This window comes from Homo sapiens, chromosome 1 (assembly GCF_000001405.40).
Source record: "Homo sapiens chromosome 1, GRCh38.p14 Primary Assembly".
NCBI lineage: Eukaryota > Metazoa > Chordata > Mammalia > Primates > Hominidae > Homo > Homo sapiens.
The window spans coordinates 175985052-176010871 of record NC_000001.11 but is presented as its reverse complement, the minus strand read 5'-3'; the positions used below and the strand labels follow the sequence as shown (position 1 = coordinate 176010871).

Genomic DNA, 25820 nt, shown 5'->3' with positions numbered 1-25820 from the left:
AGCATTGATTTTCTATGAAGAGTCAAGTATTAATTCATCTTGTTGGCTTAAAGTATTTGTATGGTTTTTGTTACCGACATTTGACATTTAGCTGCATAAAAAATAAGATGTGTTTGTTTTCTTCTTAATGGCTGTGGAGATAGCATCATTTGGCTTAACAACTGAAATAAGAGAGACAGATTCCCTTTATACTGAAAAGGCCAGAAGGTCATTTAAGTAATCAAATTTGGCATCACCATTGGAACAAACATGTGCCTCTTCTTTTGATGTGATAGAAAGGACCATCACCTTTATAGTATTTGTGCCAAAAACATTTAATTTGAACATAATAAGAAAACATTTAGACAAATTCAGATGTGTGGAACAATGTGCAAAACAGCTGTCCTGAATGCTTCAAATATAACAATATTATGAATTGTTTTATATAATAGGCCAGAGACATGGCAACTAAATACAATGAGTGACCCACTAGTAAAAACTTAATAAATATTCAGGCCCTTTTTTAAACAGTTGGGAGATATCTGAATATAGGATGCATTGTATATTATATCAATATTAATTTTCTTGAGTGTGATATAATGATATTGTGTACATAGGAAAGGTTTTGTTTGTAGAAGGTAGAGGCTGAAGTTTTTAAAAGTCAAATATCCTGATGTTTGAAACTTAAAGTGGTTCAGCGGTACAGGGGGCAGAGAGAGAGAGAGACAAGAGGCGGTGTGTGTTTGGGGTGTGGGTAAAGCAAATATGGTGAAACATTTACAGTTGGTGAGTCTAGAACAAGTGGTACAAGGTTATTCATTGTGCTGTTCTTTCAGCTTCTTTGCAGACTGGATATTTTTTTCAAAGCTAAAAGGGAAAAAGGAAAAACAGTAATTGACTGTACCCTAATTCCTCATTATTAAGCATACTTTTTCAGTTATGGCAATGCTTCAGAAATATAAAGACATACCCTCCTTTATAAAGGAAAGAAAATTATTGCGGACCCCCCCCCCCCAAGTAACCTAAACTTATAACTTAACATCATAATGTTATTACAATATATATAAAAATGTAAAGGTGTAGACCATCTTCATATGCCCCTGTCTCCTAAGTAACTATAACTCAGAACAAATTCTAATTATTAATAAATGCAATATATAAAATCAAAATTCAAAATAACAATATGATGGCATAATAATAACAATAATCGGATTAACTGGTATAATTTTGCTGAAAATAAGTCACCACTCAACATACCAAACTGGTTATGAGTACTCCAATACAGTTTCTTTTGAAGTTGTCACATCTATAGAAACATCTGTCATTTGATAACTCACTGTAAAAACCTTCGTGCAGTACGCAATTTTTAGCTACTGTAAAACTTTTGTACAGTACACAAGGACATAATTTAACCTTTACTTATATGCCTTTCACATATTACACCCCTTTTGTATTAACATGAGAATACGTTAGTATATTATTATATGGTACTATGTTATTTTTATAATACCAAATTATTCTCATCTTATGAAATAACTTGAGAAATTATGTATTAAAATGTTTTTGAATTGTGAAATATTAGAATATTGTTACTATTTGACCCAACTCAAAATCTCCATGGGAAAATACCTGTCGATACCCACAGTATTGTTGAAAATAATCAGATGCAGTATCACAGCTGTGTCAGACTCTAGTACCAGTTGGGCAATCAAGGCACAGCTAAAAATTGAAAACAAAGATCTGGACAACAAAACAGCCAAAGGTGGGGGTCAAGAAGCTCTGACGTGTACCTAGCTGTAGAATGCTATGCACATGTGCCAGGTGTAGTGTGCATATCCAGGAAAAACTGCAGAGAGCCCCAGTCTTCACCTCTGGTTGACCATGAGCTCTGTGTAAGCAGGAAGTGAAGGCTAAGGCAGATTTAAGCTCTGAAAGCATTCCACAACATACACACAAATCGTGCAAAGCATTAAGGAAATCTTGTTACTGCTAAGTGTTGCTGACCCAGGAACAACTCCTACTCAGCTGGACTTAAAAATAAAAACAAAAATAAATAAAAAACTCATTAAAGATGTCAGTGGCTCCATGCAGTAGGAATTACAGGCTGAACAGATTTAGTCCCAGGGAAGTCATTAAACCACAAACAGCAACACCGCCAATAGCAAAAAGCTGAGCTGGAAGAAAACCAGGAGGAAGAACCGAGTCCACAGTTGCCACATAGTATTTTCCAAAGTGTCTGCTTTTCAGTAAAAAAAGGTATACACAAACAAGAAAAATTCTTAGTAGAAATTATCCTAGCTATAGGGCTTATATATTTGTAATTAGTTATTACAAATATATTCAAAAAAGGTAATTAAACCACAAAGAGTTAAAGGAAAATATGACAAATATACTTTATCAAATAGAGAATATTAACAAAAAGAAATAAAAACAAATAATTCTGTTGTTGAAAGTATCATAACTAAACATGAAAAATTCATTAGAGAGGTTCATGAGAAAATTTGACCTGTCAAAAGAAAGAATCAGGAGGAGCAAAGATGGCCGAATAGGAACAGCTCCGGTCTACAGCTCCCAGCATGAGCAACGCAGAAGATGGGTGATTTCTGCATTTCCATCTGAGGTACCGGGTTCATCTCACTAGGAAGTGCCAGACAGTGGGTGCAGATCAGTGGGTGCGTGCACCGTGCGCGAGCTGATGCAGGGCGAGGCATTGCCTCACTTGGGAAGCGCAAGGGGTCAGGGAGTTCCCTTTCCGAGTCAAAGAAAGGGGTGACGGACGCACCTGGAAAATCGGGTCACTCCCACCCAAATACTGCGCTTTTCCGACCGGCTTAAAAAACGGCGCACCACGAGATTATATCCCGCACCTGGCTCCGAGGGTCCTACGCCCACGGAGTCTCCCTGATTGCTAGCAGAGCAGTCTGAGATCAAACTGCAAGGCGGCAGCGAGGCTGGGGGAGGGGCGCCCGCCATTACCCAGGCTTGCTTAGGTAAACAAAGCAGCCAGGAAGCTGGAACTGGGTGGAGCCCACCACAGCTGAAGGAGGCCTGCCTGCCTCTGTAGGCTCCACCTCTGGGGACAGGGCACACACAAACAAAAAGACAGCAGTAACCTCTGCAGACTTAAATGTCCCTGTCTGACAGCTTTGAAGAGAGCAGTGGTTCTCCCAGCACGCAGCTGGAGATCTGAGAACAGGCAGACTGCCTCCTCAAGTGGGTCCCTGACCCCTGACCCCTGAGCAGCCTAACTGGGAGACACCCCCCAGCAGGGGCACACTGACATCTCACACGGCAGGGTATTCCAACAGACCTGCAGCTGAGGGTCCTGTCTGTTAGAAGGAAAACTACCAAACAGAAAGGACATCCACACCAAAAACCCATCTGTACATCACCATCATCAAAGACCAAAAGTAGATAAAACCACAAAGATGGGAAAAAAACAGAACAGAAAAACTGGAAACTCTAAAAACCAGAGTGCCTCTCTTCCTCCAAAGGAACGCAGTTCCTCACCAGCAACGGAACAAAGCTGGATGGAGAATGACTTTGACGAGCTGAGAGAAGAAGGCTTCAGACGATCAAATTACTCTGAGCTACGGGAGGACATGCAAACCAAAGGCAAAGAAGTTGAAAACATTGAAAAAAATTTAGAAGAATGTATAACTAGAATAACCAATATAGAGAAGTGCTTAAAGGAGCTGATGGAGCTGAAAACCAAGGCTCGAGAACTACGTGAAGAATGCAGAAGCCTCAGGAGCCGATGCGATCAACTGGAAGAAAGGGTATCAGCGATGGAAGATGAATGAAATGAAGCGAGATGGGAAGTTTAGAGAAAAAAGAATAAAAAGAAATGAGCAAAGCCTCCAAGAAATACGGGACTATGTGAAAAGACCAAATCTACATCTGATTGGTATACCTGAAAGTGATGGGGAGAATGGAACCAAGTTGGAAAACACTCTGCAGGATATTATCCAGTAGAACTTCCCCAATCTAGCAAGGCAGGCCAACGTTCAGATTCAGGAAATACAGAGAACGCCACAAAGATACTCCTCGAGAAGAGCAACTCCAAGACACATAATTGTCAGATTCACCAAAGTTGAAATGAAGGAAAAAATGTTAAGGGCAGCCAGAGAGAAAGGTCGGGTTACCTACAAAGGGAAGACCATCAGACTAACAGCGGATCTCTCGGCAGAAACCCTACAAGCCAGAAGAGAGTGGGTGCCAATATTCAACATTCTTAAAGAAAAGAATTTTCAACCCAGAATTTCATATCAAGCCAAACTAAGCTTCGTAAGCAAAGGAGAAATAAAATACTTTACAGACCAGCAAATGCTGAGGGATTTTGTCACCACCAGGCCTGCCCTAAAAGAGCTCCTGAAGGAAGCACTAAACATGAAAAGGAACAACCCATACCAGCCACTGCAAAATCATGCCAAATTGTAAAGCCCATCGAGGCTAGGAAGAAACTGCATCAACTAACGAGCAAAATAACCAGCTAACATCATAATGACAGGATCAAATTCACACATAACAATATTAACTTTAAATATAAATAGACTAAATGCTCCAATGAAAAGACACAGACTGGCAAATTGGATAAAGAGTCAAGACCCATCAGTGTGCTGTATTCAGGAAACCCATCTCACGTGCAGAGACACACATAGGCTCAAAATAAAAGGATGGAGGAAGATCTACCAAGCAAATGGAAAACAAAAAAAGGCAGGGGTTGCAATCCTAGTCTCTGATAAAACAGACTTTAAACCAACAAAGATCAAAACAGACAAAGAAGGCCATTACATAATGGTAAAGGGATCAATTCAGCAGGAAGAGCTAACTATCCTAAATATATATGCACCCAATACAAGGGCACCCAGACTCATAAAGCAAGTCCTGAGTGACCTACAAAGAGACTTAGACTCCCACACATTAATAATGGGAGATTTAACACCCCACTGTCAACATTAGACAGATCAACGAGACAGAAAGTCAACAAGGATACCCAGGAATTGAACTCAGCTCTGCACCAAGCGGACCTAATAGACATCTACAGAACTCTCCACCCCAAATCAACAGAATATGCATGTTTTTCAGCACCACACCACACCTATTCCAAAATTGACCACATAGTTGGAAGTAAAGCTCTCAGCAAATGTAAAAGAACAGAGATTATAACAAACTATCTCTCATACCACAGTGCAATCAAACTAGAACTCAGGATTAAGAATCTCACTCAAAACCGCTCAACTTCATGGAAACTGAACAACCTGCTCCTGAATGACTACTGGGTACATAACGAAATGAAGGCAGAAATAAAGATGTTCTTTGAAAACAACAAGAACAAAGACACAACATACCAGAATCTCTGGGACACATTCAAAGCAGTGTGTAGAGGGAAATTTATAGCACTAAATGCCCACAAGAGAAAGCAGGAAAGATCCAAAATTGACACCCTAACATCACAATTAAAAGAACTAGAAAAGCAAGACCAAACACATTCAAAAGCTAGCAGAAGGCAAAAAATAACTAAAATCAGAGCAGAACTGAAGGAAATAGAGACACAAAAAACCCTACAAAAATTAAGGAATCCAGGAGCTGGTTTTTTGAAAGGATCAACAAAATTGATAGACCACTAGCAAGACTAATAAAGAAGAAAAGAGAGAAGAATCAAATAGATGCAATAAAAAATGATAAACGGGATATCACCACCGATCCCACAGAAATACAAACTACCATCAGAGAATACTACAAACACCTCTACACAAATAAACTAGAAAATCTAGAAATAAAGGATAAATTCCTCGACACATACACCCTCCCAAGACTAAACCAGGAAGAAATTGAATCTCTGAGTAGACCAATAACAGGCTCTGAAATTGTGGCAAGAATCAATAGCTTACCAACCAAAAAGAGTCCAGGACCAGATGGATTCACAGCTGAATTCTACCAGAGGTACAAGGAGGAACTGGTACCATTCCTTCTGAAACTATTCCAATCAATAGAAAAAGAGGGAATCCTCCCTAACTCATTTTATGAGGCCAGCATCATGCTGACACCAAAGCCGGGCAGAGACACAACCAAAAAAGAGAATTTTAGACCAATATCCTTGATGAACATTGATGCAAAAATCCTCAATAAAATACTGGCAAAACGAATCCCGCAGCACATCAAAAAGCTTATCCACCATGATCAAGTGGGCTTCATCCCTGGGATGCAAGGCTGGTTCAATACACACAAATCAATAAATGTAATCCAGCATATAAACAGAGCCAAAGACAAAAACCACATGATTATCTCAATAGATGCAGAAAAAGCCTTCAACAAAATGCAACAACCCTTCATGCTAAAAACTCTCAATAAATTAGGTATTGATGGGACGTATTTCAAAATAATAAGAACTATCTATGACAAACCCACAGCCATTATCATACTGAATGGGCAAAAACTGGAAGCATTCCCTTTGAAAACTGGCACAAGACAGGGATGCCCTCTCTCACCATTCCTCTTCAACATAGTGTTGGAAGTTCTGGCCAGGGCAATTAGGCAGGAGAAGGAAATAAAGGGTATTCAATTAGGAAAAGAGGAAGTCAAATTGTCCCTGTTTGCAGATGACATGATTGTATATCTAGAAAACCCCATCGTCTCAGCCCAAAATCTCCTTAAGCTGATAAGCAACTTCAGCAAAGTCTCAGGATACAAAATCAATGTACAAAAATCACAAGCATTCTTACACACCAACAACAGACAAACAGAGAGCCGAATCATGAGTGAACTCCCATTCACAATTGCTTCAAAGAGAATAAAATACCTAGGAATCCAACTTACAAGGGATGTGAAGGACCTCTTCAAGGAGAACTACAAACCACTGCTCAAGGAAATAAAAGAGGATACAAACAAATGGAAGAACATTCCATGCTCATGGGTTGGAAGAATCAATATCCTGAAAATGGCCATACTGCCCAGGGTAATTTACAGATTCAATGCCATCCCCATCAAGCTACCAACGCCTTTCTTCACAGAATTGGAAAAAACTACTTTCAAGTTCATATGGAACCAAAAAAGAGCCCACATCGCCAAGTCAATCCTAAGCCAAAAGAACAAAGCTGGAGGCATCACACTACCTGACTTCAAACTATACTACAAGGCTACAGTAACCAAAACAGCATGGTACTGGTACCAAAACAGAAATATAGATCAATGGAACAGAACAGAGCCCTCAGAAATAACGCCACGTATCTACAACTATCTGATCTCTGACAAACCTGAGAAAAACAAGCAATGGGGAAAGGATTCCCTATTTAATAAATGGTGCTGGGAAAACTGGCTAGCCATATGTAGAAAGCTGAAACTGGATCCCTTCCTTACACCTTATACAAAAATCAATTCAAGATGGATTAAAGACTTACATGTTAGACCTAAAACCATAAAAACCCTAGAAGAAAACCTAGGCAATACCATTCAGGACATAGGCATGGGCAAGGACTTCATGTCTAAAACACCAAAAGCAATGGCAACAAAAGCCAAAATTGACAAATGGGATCTAATTAAACTAAAGAGCTTCTGCACAGCGAAAGAAACTACCATCAGAGTGAACAGGCAACCTACAGAATGGGAGAAAATTTTTGCAACCTACTCATCTGACAAAGGGCTAATATCCAGAATCTAGAATGAACTCAAACAAATTTACAAGAAAACAACCCCATCAAAAAGTGGGCAAAGGACATGAACAGACACTTCTCAAAAGAAGACATTTATGCAGCCAAAAAACACATGAAAAAATGCTCATCATCACTGGCCATCAGAAAAATGCAAATCAAAACCACAATGAGATACCATCTCACACCAGTTAGAATGGCAATCATTAAAAACTCAGGAAACAACAGGTGCTGGAGAGGATGTGGAGAAATAGGAACACTTTTACACTGTTGGTGGGACTGTAAACTAGTTCAACCATTGTGGAAGTCAGTGTGGCGATTCCTCAGGGATCTAGAACTAGAAATACCATTTGACCCAGCCATCCCATTACTGAGTATATACCCAAAGGACTATAAATCATGCTGCTATAAAGACACATGCACACGTATGTTTATTGTGGCATTATTCACAATAGCAAAGACTTGGAACCAACCCAAATGTCCAACAATGATAGACTGGATTAAGAAAATGTGGCACATATACACCATGGAATACTATGCAGCCATAAAAAATGATGAGTTCATGTCCTTTGTAGGGACATAGATGAAATTGGAAATCATCATTCTCAGTAAACTATCACAAGAACAAAAAACCAAACACTGCATATTCTCACTCATAGGTGGGAATTGAACAATGAGATCACATGGACACAGGAAGGGGAATATCACGCTCTGGGGACTGTTGTGGGGTGGGGGGGAAGGGGAAGGGATAGCATTGGGAGATATACCTAATGCTAGGTGACGAGTTAGTGGGTGCAGTACACCAGCATGGCACATGTATACATATGTAACTAACCTGCACTATGTGCACATGTACCCTAAAACTTAAAGTATAATAAAAATAAATAAATAAATAAAAACTAAAAAAGAAAGAATCAGTAAACTTGGAGATAGGTCAGTTGTGATTATCCATTGTAAAGAATACAAAGAAAAAAGAATAAAAGAAAAAATGAACTTCACAAACCTGGAGACACCATCAAGCATGCCAACATTTGTAGATTTCCAAAAGATGAGGAGAGAGAAAGAGGTAGAAAATATTTGTAGAAATGATGGCCAGTATTTTTGCAAATTGGATGGAAAACATCAATCCACACATCCAAAAAGCTCAATAAACCCCAAGTAGATAAGATGTACACCTAAACTCATCATATTGAAACTCTTGAAAGGCGGGAAGAGAATCTTGGAAATGGCAATCAAAAAGTTGCTCAGCAAGTACCAGGGATCCTCATTAAGATTAATGTTAATATTTCTGATGACTTCTCGTCAGAAATCATTACTGCCAGCAGGCAGTAGGATATGTTTAAAGTATTGAAAGGAAAAGATTGTCAATAAAGAATTTTATATTCAGCAAAACTATTCATCAAAAATGAAGGGGGAATTAAGATATTCCCAGATAAACCGAGTGAGTTCTTTGTCAGGAGACCTACCCCATAAGAAATACCAGAGAGAGTTCTGCAGGCCGAAATAAAGGGATACTAGACTGTAATGTAAGTCCACAAAGTAGTAAAGAGAACTGGTTAAGATAATCATATCGGTATATAAAAAGATAGTTTAGATGAATTTTTTTGTAAAGAATTTTTATTCTGATTTTACCCTTTACTCATTTGCCCTGAGAATACTTGCTGGTGGCACTTGCGGCTGCAGTTGTTTACCCTGAGATAACTTTGCCACGAAATATCTCGCTTTTATTATTATTTTTACATCACTGTAGTATATCAACTTTGGAAACAAAAGACATCATTCTGTCCATAGCATTCTGTTTTTAGTAGTGGTATTTCCATTTACACAAACAAAAATCGAGAAAATTTGACAGAGAATTACTATACTCAATCGCTGAAAATGTCAGATCCTTAGAAAACATAGCATTCTTATGCATGATGTTAACATCGTACTCAAATACTTGATGCCTAGAGGTTCATTCGATGAATCCAGGTTTTTTGAAATAGATGTTTCTGATGATTCAGACAATTCTGATGTTAATTCTCTTTAGAAATAACTCCCAAGAAGAGTTTTATATTTTATTTTCACAGTAAAAATCAGTCAGATTTGCAGTAGCCTTGAAGAGAGTGTTCATGTAAAATTAAATGCGCTTTGGTAGTGAGCTGCACTTCCTTTTTTCTAAACTGGAAAGGGTTTGAAAGACAATTGACTAAAATAGTAATTCTAAAATTGTTGATGAACATGTAACATAGAAAGATGTAATATGTATGGCCATAATGTTTCAAAGGTTGGGGAGGAAAGGAGATGGAGCTATATTGCAGCAGAATTTTGACATAGTATTGAAATTAAATTAGTGATCATCTGAACTAGGTTATTTTAATTTAACATGCCAATTATAATCCCCAGAAAAAACACTCTGAAAAATAACTTTTAAAATATACTCAAACTAAAATGATACACTAGAAAATATCTGTATAACACAAAGTAAGGTAATAATGGAGGCATAAAAGAGCAAATGACATAACAAAAAAAAAAGCAACATTGCATGTAAAAATTCTACCATATACAGGTTGAGAACCCTTTTTCCAAAATGCTGAGAACCAGATGTGTTTTGGATTTCATTTTTTTAAAAATATTTACATTGTAGAGTCATGCAGTGTATAATGACATTTCAATCAGTGAGAGACCACATATATGACAGTGGTCCCATAAGATTAAAATGGAGGTAAAAAATTTTAAACTTCTAATGTTGTCATAGCCATTATAACTTCATAGTGCAGACATTACTCACATGTTTACAGTGATACTAGTGTAAACAATTCTATGCTCCCAGTTAAATAAAAGTATAGCACACCTACAGTGAACTCATTTTTGACAAACTTGCCAAGAACATACACTGGAGAAAAGACAGTCTTTTCAATAAATGCCAGTGGGAAAACTGGATATCCGTTTGCAGAAGAATGGAACTAGACCTCTGTCTGTCACCATATATGAAAATCAAGTCACAATGGATTAAAGACTTTAAGACTTCAAACTACAAAACTACTACAAGAAAACACTGGGGGAAATCTCCAGTACTTTGGTCTAAGCAAAAATTTCTTTAGTAATATCCCACAAGCAGCCAAAGCAAAAATGGACAAATGGGATCATATCAAGTTAAAAAGCTTCTGCACAGCGAAGGCAACAGTCAACAAAGTGCAGAGACAACCCACAGAATGGGAGAAAATATTTGCAAACTACTCATCTGACAAGTGATTAATAACCAGAATATATAAGGAGCTCAGACAATTTTGTAGGGAAAAAAATCTAATAATCCATTTTAAAATGGGTAAAAGGTTTGAATAGACATTTCTCAAAAGAAGACATATAAATGGCAAACTGGTATATGTAAAAGTGCTCAACATCATTGATCATCAGAAATGCAAATCATGGCTACAATGAGATATTATCTCACCCCAGTTAAAATGACTTATCCAAAAGTTAGGCAGTAAACAAATGCTGGTGAGGATGTGGAGAAAAGGGAACCCTTGTACAGTGGTGGTGGGAATGTAAATTGGTACAACCACTATGAAGATTGGTTTGGAGATTCCTAAAAAATTAAAACTAGAGCTACCATATTACCCAGCAGTCCCACTGCTGGGTATATACCCAACAGAAAGGCAACTTCTATATGAAAGAGCTATCTGCATTCCCATGTTTTTTGCGGCACTGTTCGCAGTAGCCAAGATTTGGAAGCAAACTTTGTATCCATCAACAGATGAATGAATAAGGGAAATGTGGTACATATACAAAATGGAGTACTATTCAGCCATTAAAAAAAAGAATGAGATTCTGTCATTTGCAACAACATGGATGGAACTGGAGATCATTATGTAAAGTGAAATAAGCCTGGCATAGAAAGACAAACGTCACGGATTCTCACTTATTTGTGGGATCTAAAAATGAAAACAATTGAACTCATGGACATAGAGAGTAGAAGGATGGTTACCAGAGTCTGAGAAGGGTACTTGGGCTGTTGGGGGAAGTAGAGGTGGTTAATGGCTACAAAAAATACACAGAATGAGTAAGACCTAGTATTTGGTAGCATAACGAGGTGACTATAGTCAATAATAATTTAATTGTACATTTTTATTTTTAATTTTTTATTTGCTATTAGATGCTACATTTACTTTCTCATACCATCATGGGTTGAAAACTGTCCACAATGCTCAGTTAAGTCGCTGATGTGTTTTAAAATGGAAAGACATAAAACAAAATAGAGAGTCATAGAAACCCATCAGTTGTGCTCTGCTTTGCAAGTACTGGAGCATATCTTTATCATTAACATGAGTGGAATTGAGTGTGCCATGTAATCTGATAAATCAGTACCACTCAATGAAGTTCCATTCCATTATTGCTTAACAGGCACTGAAATGAACACAAAATATTTCCAAATGATTACCTAGGCTTTACCTTATCCTACCTAGGATTACCTTATGTTTTTTGAATACACCAAAAATGTGTATGAGGGAAGAGAAATGAGTTCCTTCCAAATTTTAATTAACTTACACCAGAAAGGTAAAATCATCTCTGGACTATTGTACATTATGAACTATCTGTGAGTATCCTAAATGGATGTAATAACCCTGGTACTAGATGAAAGATTTCATAATTTGCAGAAGTCCTGAAATGCTATATACAGATTTAGTTTTTAAATATATTTCCATTCACAGAAGATAATTATTTTTTAACATTTTCTGAATGCCTGTTAATCCATGGTTCTATTTTTTTTTCTTTTTTTTCTCTTTTTTTAATTTTATTATTATTATACTTTAAGTTTTAGGGTACATGTGCACAATGTGCAGGTTAGTTACATATGTATACATGTGCCATGCTGGTGTGCTGCATCCATTAATTCGTCATTTAGCATTAGGTATATCTCCTAAAGCTATCCCTCCCCTCTCCCCCCACCCCACAACAGTCCCCAGAGTGTGATGTTCCCCTTCCTGTGTCCATGTGTTCTCATTGTTCAATTCCCACCTATGAGTGAGAATATGTGGTGTTTGGTTTTTTGTTCTTGTGATAGTTTACTGAGAATGATGATTTCCAATTTCATCCATGTCCCTACAAAGGACATGAACTCATCATTTTTTATGGCTGCATAGTATTCCATGGTGTATATGTGCCACATTTTCTTTTTTTTTTTTTTTTTTTTTTTTTTTAATTATACTCTAAGTTTTAGGGTACATGTGCACATTGTGCAGGTTAGTTACATATGGACTTTTGGGTTGGCTCCAAGTCTTTGCTATTGTAAGTAGTGCCGCAATAAACATAATGTGTGCATGTGTCTTTATAGCAGCATTATTTATAGTCCTTTGGGTATATACCCAGTAATGGGATGGCTGGGTCAAATGGTATTTCTAGTTCTAGATCCCTGAGGAATTGCCACGCTGACTTTCACAATGGTTGAACTAGTTTACAGTCCCACCAACAGTGTAAAAGTGTTCCTATTTCTCCACATCCTCTCCAGCACCTGTTGTTTCCTGAGTTTTTAATGATTGCCATTCTAACTGGTGTGAGATGGTATCTCATTGTGGTTTTGATTTACATTTCTCTGATAGCCAGTGATGATGAGCATTTTTTCATGTGTTTTTTGGCTGCATAAATGTCTTCTTTTGAGAAGTGTCTGTTCATTCCCTTCGCCCACTTTTTCATGGGGTTGTTTGTTTTTTTCTTGTAAATTTGTTTGAGTTCATTGTAGATTCTGGATATTAGCCCTTTGTCAGATGAGTAGGTTGTGAAAATTTTCTCCCATTTTGTAGGTTGCCTATTCACTCTGATGGTAGTTTCTTTTGCTGTGCAGAAGCTCTTTAGTTTAATTAGATCCCATTTGTCAATTTTGGCTTTTGTTGCCATTGCTTTTGGTGTTTTAGACATGAAGTCCTTGCCCATGCCTATGTCCTGAATGGTATTGCCTAGGTTTTCTTCTAGGGTTTTTTGGTTTTAGGTCTAACATTTAAGTCTTTAATCCATCTTGAATTGATTTTTGTATAAGGTGTAAGGAAGGGATCCAGTTTCAGCTTTCTACATATGGCTAGCCAGTTTTCCCAGCACCATTTATTAAATAGGGAATCCTTTCCCCATTGCTTGTTTTTGTCAGGTTTGTCAAAGATCAGATAGTTGTAGGTACGCGGCATTATTTCTGAGGACTGTGTTCTGTTCCATTGATCTATATCTCTGTTTTGGTACCAGTACCATGCTGTTTTGGTTACTGTAGCCTTGTAGTATAGTTTGAAGTCAGGTAGTGTGATGCCTCCAGCTTTGTTCTTTTGGCTTAGGATTGACTTGGCGATGTGGGCTCTTTTTTGGTTCCATATGAACTTGAAAGTAGTTTTTTCCAATTCTGTGAAGAAAGTCATTGGTAGCTTGATGGGGATGGCATTGAATCTATAAATTACCTTGGGCAGTATGGCCATTTTCAGGATATTGATTCTTCCTACCCATGAGCATGGAATGTTCTTCCATTTGTTTGTATCCTCTTTTATTTCACTGAGCAGTGGTTTGTAGTTCTCCTTGAAGAGGTCCTTCATGTCCCTTGTAAGTTGGATTCCTAGATATTTTATTCTCTTTGAAGCAGTTGTGAATGGGAGTTCACTCATGATTTGGCTCTCTGTTTGTCTGTTATTGGTGTATAAGAATGCTTGTGATTTTTGTACATTGATTTTGTATCCTGAGACTTTGCTGAAGTTGCTTATCAGCTTAAGGAGATTTTGGGCTGAGACGATGGGGTTTTCTAGATATACAATCATGTCATCTGCAAACAGGGACAATTTGACTTCCTCTTTTCCTAATTGAATACCCTTTATTTCCTTCTCCTGCCTAATTGCCCTGGCCAGAACTTCCAACACTATGTTGAAGAGGAGTGGTGAGAGAGGGCATCCCTGTCTTGTGCCAGTTTTCAAAGGGAATGCTTCCAGTTTTTGCCCATTCAGTATGATATTGGCTGCGGGTTGGTCATAGATAGCTCTTATTATTTTGAGATATATCCCATCAAAACCTAATTTATTGAGAGTTTTTAGCACAAAGGGTTGTTGAATTTTGTCAAAGGCCTTTTCTGCATCTATTGAGGTAACCATGTGGATTTTGTCTTTGGTTCTGTTTATATGCTGGATTACATTTATTGATTTGCCTGTTTTGAACCAGCCTTGCATCCCAGGGATGAAGCCCACTTGATCATGGTGGATAAGCTTTTTGATGTGCTGCTGGATTCGTTTTGCCAGTATTTTATTGAGGATTTTTGCATCAATGTTCATCAAGGATATTGGTCTAAAATTCTCTTTTTTGGTTGTGTCTCTGCCAGGCTTTGGTATCAGGATGATGCTGGCCTCATAAAATGAGTTAGGGAGGATTCTCTCTTTTTCTGTTGATTGGAATAGTTTCAGAAGGAATGATACCAGTTCCTCCTTGTACCTCTGGTAGAATTCGGCTGTGAATCCATCTGGTCCTGGACTCTTTTTGGTTGGTAAGCTATTGATTCTTGCCACAATTTCAGAGCCTGTTATTGGTCTATTCAGAGATTCAATTTCTTCCTGGTTTAGTCTTGGGAGGGTGTATGTGTCGAGGAATTTATCCATTTGTTCTAGATTTTCAAGTTTATTTGTGTAGAGGTGTTTGTAGTATTCTCTGATGGTAGTTTGTATTTCTGTGGGATCGGTGGTGATATCCCGTTTATCATTTTTTATTGCATCTATTTGATTCTTCTCTCTTTTCTTCTTTATTAGTCTTGCTAGTGGTCTATCAATTTTGTTGATCCTTTCAAAAAACCAGCTCCTGGATTCATTAATTTTTTTGAAGGGTTTTTTGTGTCTGTATTTCCTTCAGTTCTGCTCTGATTTTAATTATTTTTTGCCTTCTGCTAGCTTTTGAATGTGTTTGGTCTTGCTTTTCTAGTTCTTTTAATTGTGATGTTAGGGTGTCAATTTTGGATCTTTCCTGCTTTGTCTTGTGAGCATTTAGTGCTATAAATTTCCCTCTACAGACTGCTTTGAATGTGTCCCAGAGATTCTGGTATGTTGTGTCTTTGTTCTTGTTGTTTTCAAAGAACATCTTTATTTCTGCCTTCATTTCGTTATGTACCCGGTAGTCATTCAGGAGCAAGTTGTTCACTTTCCATGTAGTTGAGCGGTTTTTAGTGAGTTTCTTAATCCTGAGTTCTAGTTTGATTGCGCTGTGGTCTGAGAGACAGTTTGTTATAATTTCTGATCTTTTGCATTTGCTGAGGAGAGCTTTACTTCCAACTATGTGGTCAATTTTGGAATAGGTGTTGTGTGGTGCTGAAAAAAATGTATATTCTATTGATTTGGGGTGGAGAGTTCTGTAGATGTCCATTAAGTCTGCTTGGTGCAGAGCTGAGTTCAATTCCTGGATATCCTTGTTGACTTTCTGTCTCATTGATCTGTCTAATGTTGACAGTGGCGTGTTAAAGTCTCCCATTATTATTGTGTGGGAGTCTAAGTCTCTTTGTAGGTCACTCAGGACTTGCTTTATGAATCTGGGTGCTCCTGTATTGGGTGCATATATATTTAGCATAGTTAGCTCTTCTTGTTGAATTGATTTCTTTACCATTATGTAATGGCCTTCTTTGTCTGTTTTGATCTTTGTTGGTTTAAAGTCTGTTTTATCAGAGACTAGGATTGCAACCCCTGCCTTTTTTTGTTTTCCATTTGCTTGGTAGATCTTCCTCCATCCTTTTATTTTGAGCCTATGTGTGTCTCTGCACGTGAGACGGGTTTCCTGAATACAGCACACTGATGGGTCTTGACTCTTTATCCAGTTTGCCAGTCTGTGTCTTTTCATTGGAGCATTTAGTCCATTTACCTTTAAAGTTAATATTGTTATGTGTGAATTTGATCCTGTCATTATGATGTTAACTGGTTATTTTGCTCGTTAGTTGATGCAGTTTCTTCCTAGCCTCGATGGGCTTTACAATTTGGCATGATTTTGCAGTGGCTGGTATGGGTTGTTCCTTTCCATGTTTAGTGCTTCCTTCAGGAGCTCTTTTAGGGCAGGCCTGGTGGTGACAGATTCTCTCAGCATTTGTTTGTCTGTAAAGTATTTTATTTCTCCTTCACTTATGAAGCTTAGTTTGGCTGGATATGAAATTCTGGGTTGAAAATTCTTTTCTTTAGGAATGTTGAATATTGGCCCCCACTCTCTTCTGGCTTGTAGAGTTTCTGCCCAGAGATCCCCTCTTAGTCTGATGGGCTTCCCTTTGTGGTTAACCCGACCTTTCTCTCTGGCTGCCCTTAACATTTTTTCCTTCATTTCAACTTTGGTGAATCTGACAATTATGTGTCTTGGAGTTGCTCTTCTCGAGGAGTATCTTTGTGGCGTTCTCTATATTTCCTGAATCTGAAAGTTGGCCTGCCTTGCTAGATTGGGGAAGTTCTCCTGGATAATATCCTGCAGAGTGTTTTCCAACTTGGTTCCATTCTCCCCATCACTTTCAGGTACACCAATCAGACGTAGATTTGGTCTTTTCACATAGTCGCATATTTCTTGGAGGCTTTGCTCATTTCTTTTTATTCTTTTTTCTCTAAACTTCCCTTCTCGCTTCATTTCATTCATTTCATCTTCCATCACTGATACCCTTTCTTCCAGTTCATCTCATCGGCTCCTGAGGGTTCTGCATTCTTCACGTAGTTCTCGAGCCTTGGCTTTCAGCTCCATCAGCTCCTTTAAGCACTTCTCTGTATTGGTTATTCTAGTTATACATTCGTCTAAATTTTTTTCAAAGTTTTCAACTTCTTTGCCTTTGGTTTAAGTTTCCTCCTGTAGCTCAGAGTAGTTTGATCATCTGAAACCTTCTTCTCTCAACTCGTCAAAGCCATTCTCCATCCAGCTTTGTTCCGTTGCTGGTGAGGAGCTGCGTTCCTTTGGAGGAGGAGAGGCACTCTGCTTTTTAGAGTTTCCAGTTTTTCTGCTTTGTTTTTTCCCCATCTTTGTGGTTTTATCTACTTTTGGTCTTTGATGGTGGTGATATACAGATGGGTTTTTGGTGTGGATGTCCTTTCTGTTTGTTAGTTTTCCTTCTAACAGACAGGACCCTCAGCTGCAGGTCTGTTGTAGTTTGCTAGAGGTCCACTCCAGACCCTGTTTGCCTGGGTCCCAGCAGCGGTGGCTGCAGAACAGCGGCTTTTCGTGAACCGCAAGTCCTGTTCTCTGATCGTTCCTCTGGAAGTTTTGTCTCAGAGGAGTACCCGGCGGTGTGAGGTGTCAGTTTGCCCCTACTGGGTGGTGCCTCCTAGTTAGGCTGCTTGGGGGTCAGGGGTCAGGGACCCACTTGAGGAGGCAGTCTGCCCGTTCTCAGATCTCCAGCTGCATGCTGGGAGAACCACTGCTCTCTTCAAAGCTGTCAGACAGGGACATTTAAGTCTGCAGAGGTTACTGCTGTCTTTTTGTCTGTGCCTGCCCCCAGAGGTGGAGCCTACAGAGGCAGGCAGGCCTCCTTGAGCTGTGGTGGGCTCCATCCAGTTCGAGCTTCCCAGCTGCTTTGTTTACCTAAGCAAGCCTGGGCAATGGCAGGTGCCCCTCCCCCAGCCTCGCTGCCGCCTTGCAGTTTGATCTCAGACTGCTGTGCTTGCAGTCAGCGAGACTCCGTGGGCGTAGGACCCTCCGAGCCAGGTGCGGGATATAATCTCCTGGTCCGCCATTTTTTAAGCCTGTCGGTAAAGCGCAGTATTAGGGTGGGAGTGACCCAATTTTCCAGGTGCCGTCTGTCACTCCTTTCTTTGACTAGGAAAGGGAACTCCCTGACCCCTTGCGCTTCCCGAGTGAGGCAATGCCTCACCCTGCTTTGGCTCGCGCACGGTGCGCTGCACCCACTCTCCTGCACCCACTGTCTGGCACTCCCTAGTGAGATGAACCTGGTACCTCAGATGGAAATGCAAAATCACCCGTCTTCTGCGTCGCTCACTCTGGGAGCTGTAGACTGGAGCTGTTCCTATTTGGCCATCTTGCCTCCACCTCCCATTGTACATTTTTAAATAACTGAAAATGTATAATTAGATTGTAACACAAAGGATAAATGCTTGAGGTAGGTGCGCCATTCTCCATGATGTGATTATTATGCATTGCATGCCTGTATCAAAACATCTCATATTCCACATAAGTGTATATACCAACTATAATACTCAAAAAAAATTAAAAATGTTCAAAAAGTCTAGCACATACGATTACGTATACTACACAATACTTGATAAAGATAATAAATAACTATATACTTGTTTATTATTTACTTTTTACCATTATTATAGACTGTACTTCTTACACTTGTTTTTTTAAGTTACTATACAACAGCCTCAGGCAGGCCCTTCAGGAGACATTCCAGAAAAAGGTACTGTTATCAGAGAAGATGACATCTCTATGCATATCATTACCCTTGAAGACTTTTCAGTGAGACAAAACGTGGAGGTGAAAACAGTGATATTGATTATCCTGACCCTGTGTAGACCTAGGCTAACTTTCTGTTTCTTAGTTTTTAACAAAAAAGTTTAAAAAGCTTTTTCCTATTTTAATTTTTTAACTTATAAGGAAATGTAAAAAGGAAATACTTTTGTCCAGCTGTACAATGTATGTGTTTTAAGCTAAGTGTTATTACAAGAGTCAAAAAGCTTTAAAAATTTTTTAAGTTTATAAAGTCAGAAAATCACTGTAAGGTAAGGTTGATTTATTTCTGAAGGGAGAACACTTTTTTACAGTAAATTTAGTGTAGCCTAGGTATACTGTTAACGTCTTAGGCCTTCATGTTCATTTACCACTCACTAACTCACCCAAAACAATTTTCAGTCCTGCAAACTCCATTCATCATAAGTCCCCTGTATGGGTGTGTACCATTTTTTACCTTTTATATCTTATTTTTACTGTAGCTTTTCTATATTTAGATACGTAAATATTTACCATTGTTACAGTTTCCTACAGCATTCAGTACAGTAACATGATACATAGGTTTGTAGCATAGGAGCACAATAGGCTATTCCACATAACCTAAGTGTGTAGTAGTCTATACCATCTAGGTTTGTGAAAGTACACTGTATGCTCACACAGTGATGAAATTGCTGAATGATACATTTCTCAGAATGTATCTCCATTGTTAAGTATGTATTATTGTACTTACTGTTCAGCATCTCAAATCCAAAATCTGAAATGCTCCAATGAAGAAGCATTTGGAGCTTTGATTGAAATGTTGGCACTCCAAAAGCAAGGATTTGGGATTTTTTGATTTCAGATGTGCAACCTATTAATAATTATATTAAATGTAAGTATGTTGAATGTTGTAACATTCAGGGATTGGCAGAATGGGTTTACAAAAAAAAAAAAATTAGAATCCAGCTTTATGCTGTCTACAAGAGATAGACTTTAGATTCACAGACACAAATAGGTTAAAGTAACAGGATGGAAAAAGATATACCATGTAAGTAGTAGTCAAGAAAAATGGTAGAATGGCTATATTTAGGTCGAACAGAATATACTTAGAGTAGAAATCAGTACTAGAAACAAAGACATTTTATAATGGTAAAAGAATCAATAGTGAAAAGATACATCAATTATCAACACACCTCAAAACAAACTTTTTGTAGATATATGAAAAGAAAATCTGTGATATTTAAGGGAAAAACAGATATTTTGACTGAAGTTGTTGAAAAATACTCCACTTTTGATATTTCATAGAAAAACTGGACAGAAAATTGGCAGAGTTTTAGAAGACTTGAATAACATTGTCAATCTGACATAACAGACATCCAAAGACCACTTCAGCCAACAGTAGAAGCATGCACATTCTTCTCAAGCAAGTGTTAGTAACAGTCTCCAGGGGACACCATATTTAAGACTAAAAATAAGTCAATAAATTTAAAATGCTTGAAGACATACAAAACAGTTTTCTGTCAATAAATTTAAAATGATTGAAGACATACAAAACAGTTTTCTGACCAAAATGGAATTAAATTAAAAATCAACAATAGTTACTTTGAGACATCTGCAAGTATTTGGAAATTACATGACACATTACTAAATAACCATTAGTCAAAGAAGAAATAACAAAGGAAATGTAAAAGGATTTTAAACTGAATGAAAATGGAAACACATCATATCACAATTTGTGGTATCAGCCAAAGCAGTGTTGATAGAGAATTGTGTATCCTTAAGTGTCTGTCTTTAAAAAGAATAACAAAGCTAACTGAAGACAAGCAGAAGGAAGGAAATAATAAAGGTTAGAGTAGAAATTAGTGATAGAGACAGACAGGAATAGAGACTGCCTGTGATGGTGGATGCCAAATGAGTGATCTTATCGGAGTGCAGAAATACTCTAAAACTGATTTATGGTAATAGTTGAACTGCTGGTTAAATTTAGTAAAGATCGTTGAATTGCATACAATATTTTTAGTGTGTGTATTTTATTATATGCAAAATATATCTAAATAATGGTTTTTTAAAACAAATATGGGAAATAAGATTATATAGCATTATGTTTATCCAGATGTCCCATAATGTTTATATTAACATTTTTTTCATGACATCATTAAAACAAAGATTGATTTTTAAGTTTCCAGTTATTTTGACCCCTTAATACTCTCTTTCTAGAGCCAATCTTATATTTGAAAAGGATTCCTTTTCCTTTGTTTTCTGGCTGTTAGAGATTAGACATCATATGTGAAACTTTTAATGAAAAAACCAAAAACCAGTTAAAATTAACTTTGCTTTCCATTTCTGCATTTACTACATTTATCTAATTTTGTTTTGTTTTAGATCACTGTGTCCACTACTATGATCTTCGTAACACTAAACAGCCAATCATGGTATTCAAAGGACACCGTAAAGCAGTCTCTTATGCAAAGTTTGTGAGTGGTGAGGAAATTGTCTCTGCGTGAGTATTACTCTCCTCAGAGGTTGAGCTTAATACAGAGCTCTGTACTTACCTACCAGCTTGTAATGTCACTGAGGGTGTATGTAAACTATAATATTGGAGTATATGTACTTTTTCTTAAATAGTAGATTTTTTTTTTAATCTTGTCCAATTAAAGTAGTGTGGTTTCTGGTCTGTATTGTGCACTTTTATATGTGAATTGTGGGTAAAATCCTGAAGATACTAGTTTTTTATATACCCTCCCCCCTTATCTCATCCTCCTATGTTTAATTGCATTTGAACTTCAGATTAGATTTTAGCTATTGCTTCTAAAGAAGAGATAAACAACATAGTTGATGCAATAGAATGAGAAGTATTTTATTTATTAAAGTCAACTCATGTGTTACTGTGTATTTTATCTACTTGCAGTATAGTAGTAGAATTATTTTTGGTTTTAAATATTACTTGGTTGGCTTTTACACTGACATGGTCATTTATCTGTGATTTCATGGTGACTTTAAATATGTTGAAAAGAAAACTTTTTTTTTTTGGCACAGAGTCTCGCTCTGTCACCCAGGCTGGAGTGCAGTGGTGTGATCTCCGCTCACTGCAGCATCTGCCCCCCAGGTTCAAGTGATTCTCCTGCCTCAGCCTCCCAAGTAGCTGGGACTACAGGCACGTGCTACCACGCCCGACTAATTTTTGTATTTTTAGTAGAGACGGTGTTTTGCTATGTTGGCCAGGCTGGTCTCGAACTCCAGACCTCAGGTGGTCCACCTGCCTCGGCCTACCAAATTGCTTGGAATACAAGCGTGAGCCACCACGCCTGGCCGACAGATGAACGTGCTAACTCAGTCTGGCTCCAGAGCCTGCATTCTTAACCAGCAAACTGCATTGCCTCTAATTAGTAGTGATGAGTTTCGTGCCAAGAAATTTTAAGTAAGTTCTTACTCTTTGTACTTTTCCTCAGCTCAACAGACAGTCAGCTAAAACTGTGGAATGTAGGGAAACCATACTGCCTACGTTCCTTCAAGGGTCATATCAATGAAAAAAACTTTGTAGGCCTGGCTTCCAATGGAGATTATATAGCTTGTGGTAAGTGAAACCATCGTTTCCAGGAACTTTTTAACAGGTGTTTGTTATTGAAATTGAACTCAGTGGAAATAGAATAAATACTAAGTCAAGAAATGGTCTGTGCACTCAGAAGATAGTATAATAGACATGATGCCCCAGCACTACTGATTTTCCTTGTGTTGTACTAGAAGAGCATTAGTCCTTCCCTTTTTTATTGTGTAGAAACCCTGAACACCTCAAATACCTGAACACCTGATTTTTAACTGTTTTATAGTTGTTCTCCATTATAACATAATTCTTTAGATATTGTGTAGAAGACAGAAAAGGTTAAGTTCTGTTAGTAATATTTCCAATTTTGGAGACATTATGTGTCTTCTTAAGCTTGATATTCATTTTCCCCTATCTGCTGTTCTCTTCATGAAGTAATCTGTTTGCATAGCATTGATCTGTTATTCTATGGCTTTTATTGTTGATAATTTATACAAATTTAAATAAGAAATAGAAAAATCAAATTTGATATTATTCAAATGCTCTGATACATCTAATGCCTGAATAGATGAGCTTTGATCATACTTTTAAATGACTTGGCCTTTGTTCAGCAAAGTTGACTTTCTCCACATATGTATGAGACTGCCAAAGCAAATATCTGGAACAATTATTCTATCTTTAATAGATGGCTCAAAAATAAAAATACAGTTCATAGACCATTAATAGAATAATTCCTATACTGAGAAATGGAAATAAATTATGTAGGCTATGAAAATCTGCCTGTGTAAGTGTTGCCACTTTCTTTTACCTCTCTAAATGGAAATCTTCCTAAATGTAATTTAAGATTCTTATAATATATTTCTGGTTCTACTATAGACTTATTAGGCTGGTGCAAAAGTAATTAAAAGTAATGACAAAACCCACAATTACTTTTGTACCAACCTCTATAAATGATTTTATAGGGTAATTTTAGCCTTAGAATTATCAGTATTGTTGTATCATTTAACACTGATTGTTTCTTTAGATTAGTAAAGTATAGCTTTTGTCCAAGAATCCTTTTCTTACATGATTTCTAATTAGTCCTGTGATCTAGCCTTTCAAATTTGCCCATAAAAGATCTTTGAACTATAACTTTGGCTGATAATTACTATTAGACTGTGATGTCCTAATTCCGAGTTTTTCTATTCTAAAATACTATTATTATTATTTGTTTTCAGGAAGTGAAAATAACTCTCTCTACCTGTACTATAAAGGACTTTCTAAGACTTTGCTAACTTTTAAGTTTGATACAGTCAAAAGTGTTCTCGACAAAGACCGAAAAGAAGATGATACAAATGAATTTGTTAGTGCTGTGTGCTGGAGGGCACTACCAGATGGGGTAAGTTTTCATATCAGTTTTTTCACCTTGGGATCTCATATTATGCATTATGTATACACAGGGTTTGATTAAATTTTAAAATATAAATTGGTATGTGGTATGTACTTTTTAAAAAACTTTGTAATGTGTCACCAAAGACAATAGGCATTTTAGGTAGTGATTGAAATGCATAGTAATAGAGCAATGTCATGGTGTCATAATGTCCCTCTGTGACCCATAGCATTTAGTGCATATCTCAGTTATAACCATTATCATATTGTCTGTTCATATCTCTTCTATAAGACTGGAAATTCCTCCAAAATATGCATTCTGTCTCATTTTCTTTATTGATTATGTGCAGTATAAGCTTGATAAACATTAAGCTGAGCTGGTATTTTAATAGGGAGGGAGAAAAAGAATTGGTACAGGTAAAGGATAGTGGCCTATATGGTCCTCTAATTAAGTACTATTTCAAAGTAGAATTGCTGTCTACAAAATACATTTATATATGAATATTTAAGCATATTTAGTATATTGATGAGACAGTTATGCTACTGGGTTTTATAAAGTGGAGTTGCCTCAAACTTTTCACTTATGTTTTAAAGTATAAGGTTTTTCATAAGTTATATGAAAAAATAATTCTTAGGCTAGGTTCGGTGGCTCACACCTGTAATCCCAGCACTTTGGGAGGCCGAGGCGGGCAAATCACGAGGTCAGGAGATCAAGACCATCCTGGCTAACACGGTGAAACCCTGTCTCTACTAAAAATACAAAAAATTAGCCAGGCGTGGTGGCGGGTGACTGTAGTCCCAGCTACTCGGGAGGCTGAGTCAGGAGAATGGCATCAACCCGCGAGGCAGAGCTTGCAGTGAGCCAAGATCGCGCCACTGCAGTCCAGCCTGGGCGACAGAGTGAGACTCTGTCTCAGAAAATAATAATTCTTGTTACTATCTTGATTTATATAAACATGAGTTATTAGTATCATATTTTTAAAATAGCTTTTTAGGTGATTAGTTGGGTTTTTGACAAAAAAAATTCTGACTTGATATGTAATTTAAAAATCCAAGTTTCAGGTATAGTTTCACTTTAATTTGATATATTCTATTGCTGTCTTATTTAAAGTTCTGTGGCTCCATTTCCAGTTTTGCTAATTGACAGACTAGGTAATTTGGACCAACCCTTCCTCCAAGTAAAATTAGAAAAAAAGGACCAAATGTATGTATTTTTAAAAAAAGAACCTATTTGAAAGCATTGGAAAGCAAACAAGACAGGAAAGAATTACCAGATTTGGATTGTGACCCTGGCTTTTGAATCTACTTTTCCCCTGTGAGCATTTGTCAGTTCTGGTGGGGTGGGTGAAAGTGCTTATACTAGCTTCACAGGGTTGCAGGGATTGGAGCTCAGTGCCTGACGTTGTATGGGTGATTACTTTGTTTTAAGTCCCCACAGGGGTATATTATAGGGGAAACCAGAAGATAAGTCTTCATAGCGATTGCATCTGAACTTCATATCAATCTCTGAAATTGAATTGAGGTGACCCTTGATTGCTAATATCCACAGGATGCAAACTTAAATCCTCTGAAAAAAGATAAGATCATCTAAGTGCTTTATTTTTTTTAGTTTTGTAACTACAATAACTAGGGCACAATAAAAAATAAACAGACATAGTAAAAGAGAAGACAGCATGAATTAAACCAGCCTAAGCAACAGACTGTAGAAACAGTCACAGCAGCTCTAAATATTGAAATTATCAGACAGCTTGAAAGTAGCTATGCTTACAAGATGAAAGACAAGATTGAAAATTTTAACTGAGAACTGGAAACTATTTTTAGAATGAAAATATCATTCTGCTTCTGGCCCCTCCCAAATTTCATGTCCTCACATTTCAAAACTGATCATGCCTTCCCAGCAG

At 37.6% G+C, this 25820-nt stretch overlaps 1 protein-coding gene across 31 annotated transcripts in view, besides 1 other annotated feature; it reads left to right on the top strand.

Annotated features, from left to right (window-relative positions):
* The window catches only part of COP1 (COP1 E3 ubiquitin ligase), a 262456-nt gene that overhangs the window by 196415 nt on the left and 40221 nt on the right, over positions 1-25820 (top strand). For all 31 annotated transcript variants that reach the window (XM_047427793.1, XM_047427798.1, NM_001286644.2 and 28 more), the window contains 3 exons: positions 21393-21510; positions 22460-22584; positions 23769-23929. In XM_047427793.1, coding sequence (XP_047283749.1) covers positions 21393-21510; positions 22460-22584; positions 23769-23929 — 404 coding nt within the window. The remainder of the gene's footprint in view (positions 1-21392; positions 21511-22459; positions 22585-23768; positions 23930-25820) is intronic.
* Positions 2806-3307: an enhancer, noted in NCBI's record as "H3K4me1 hESC enhancer chr1:175976701-175977202 (GRCh37/hg19 assembly coordinates)". NCBI's record gives its function as "activates a minimal SCP1, AML or CMV promoter by ChIP-STARR-seq in naive H9 embryonic stem cells {active_cell/tissue: H9 hESC(naive)}" and the evidence as "EXISTENCE:reporter gene assay evidence [ECO:0000049][PMID:30033119]".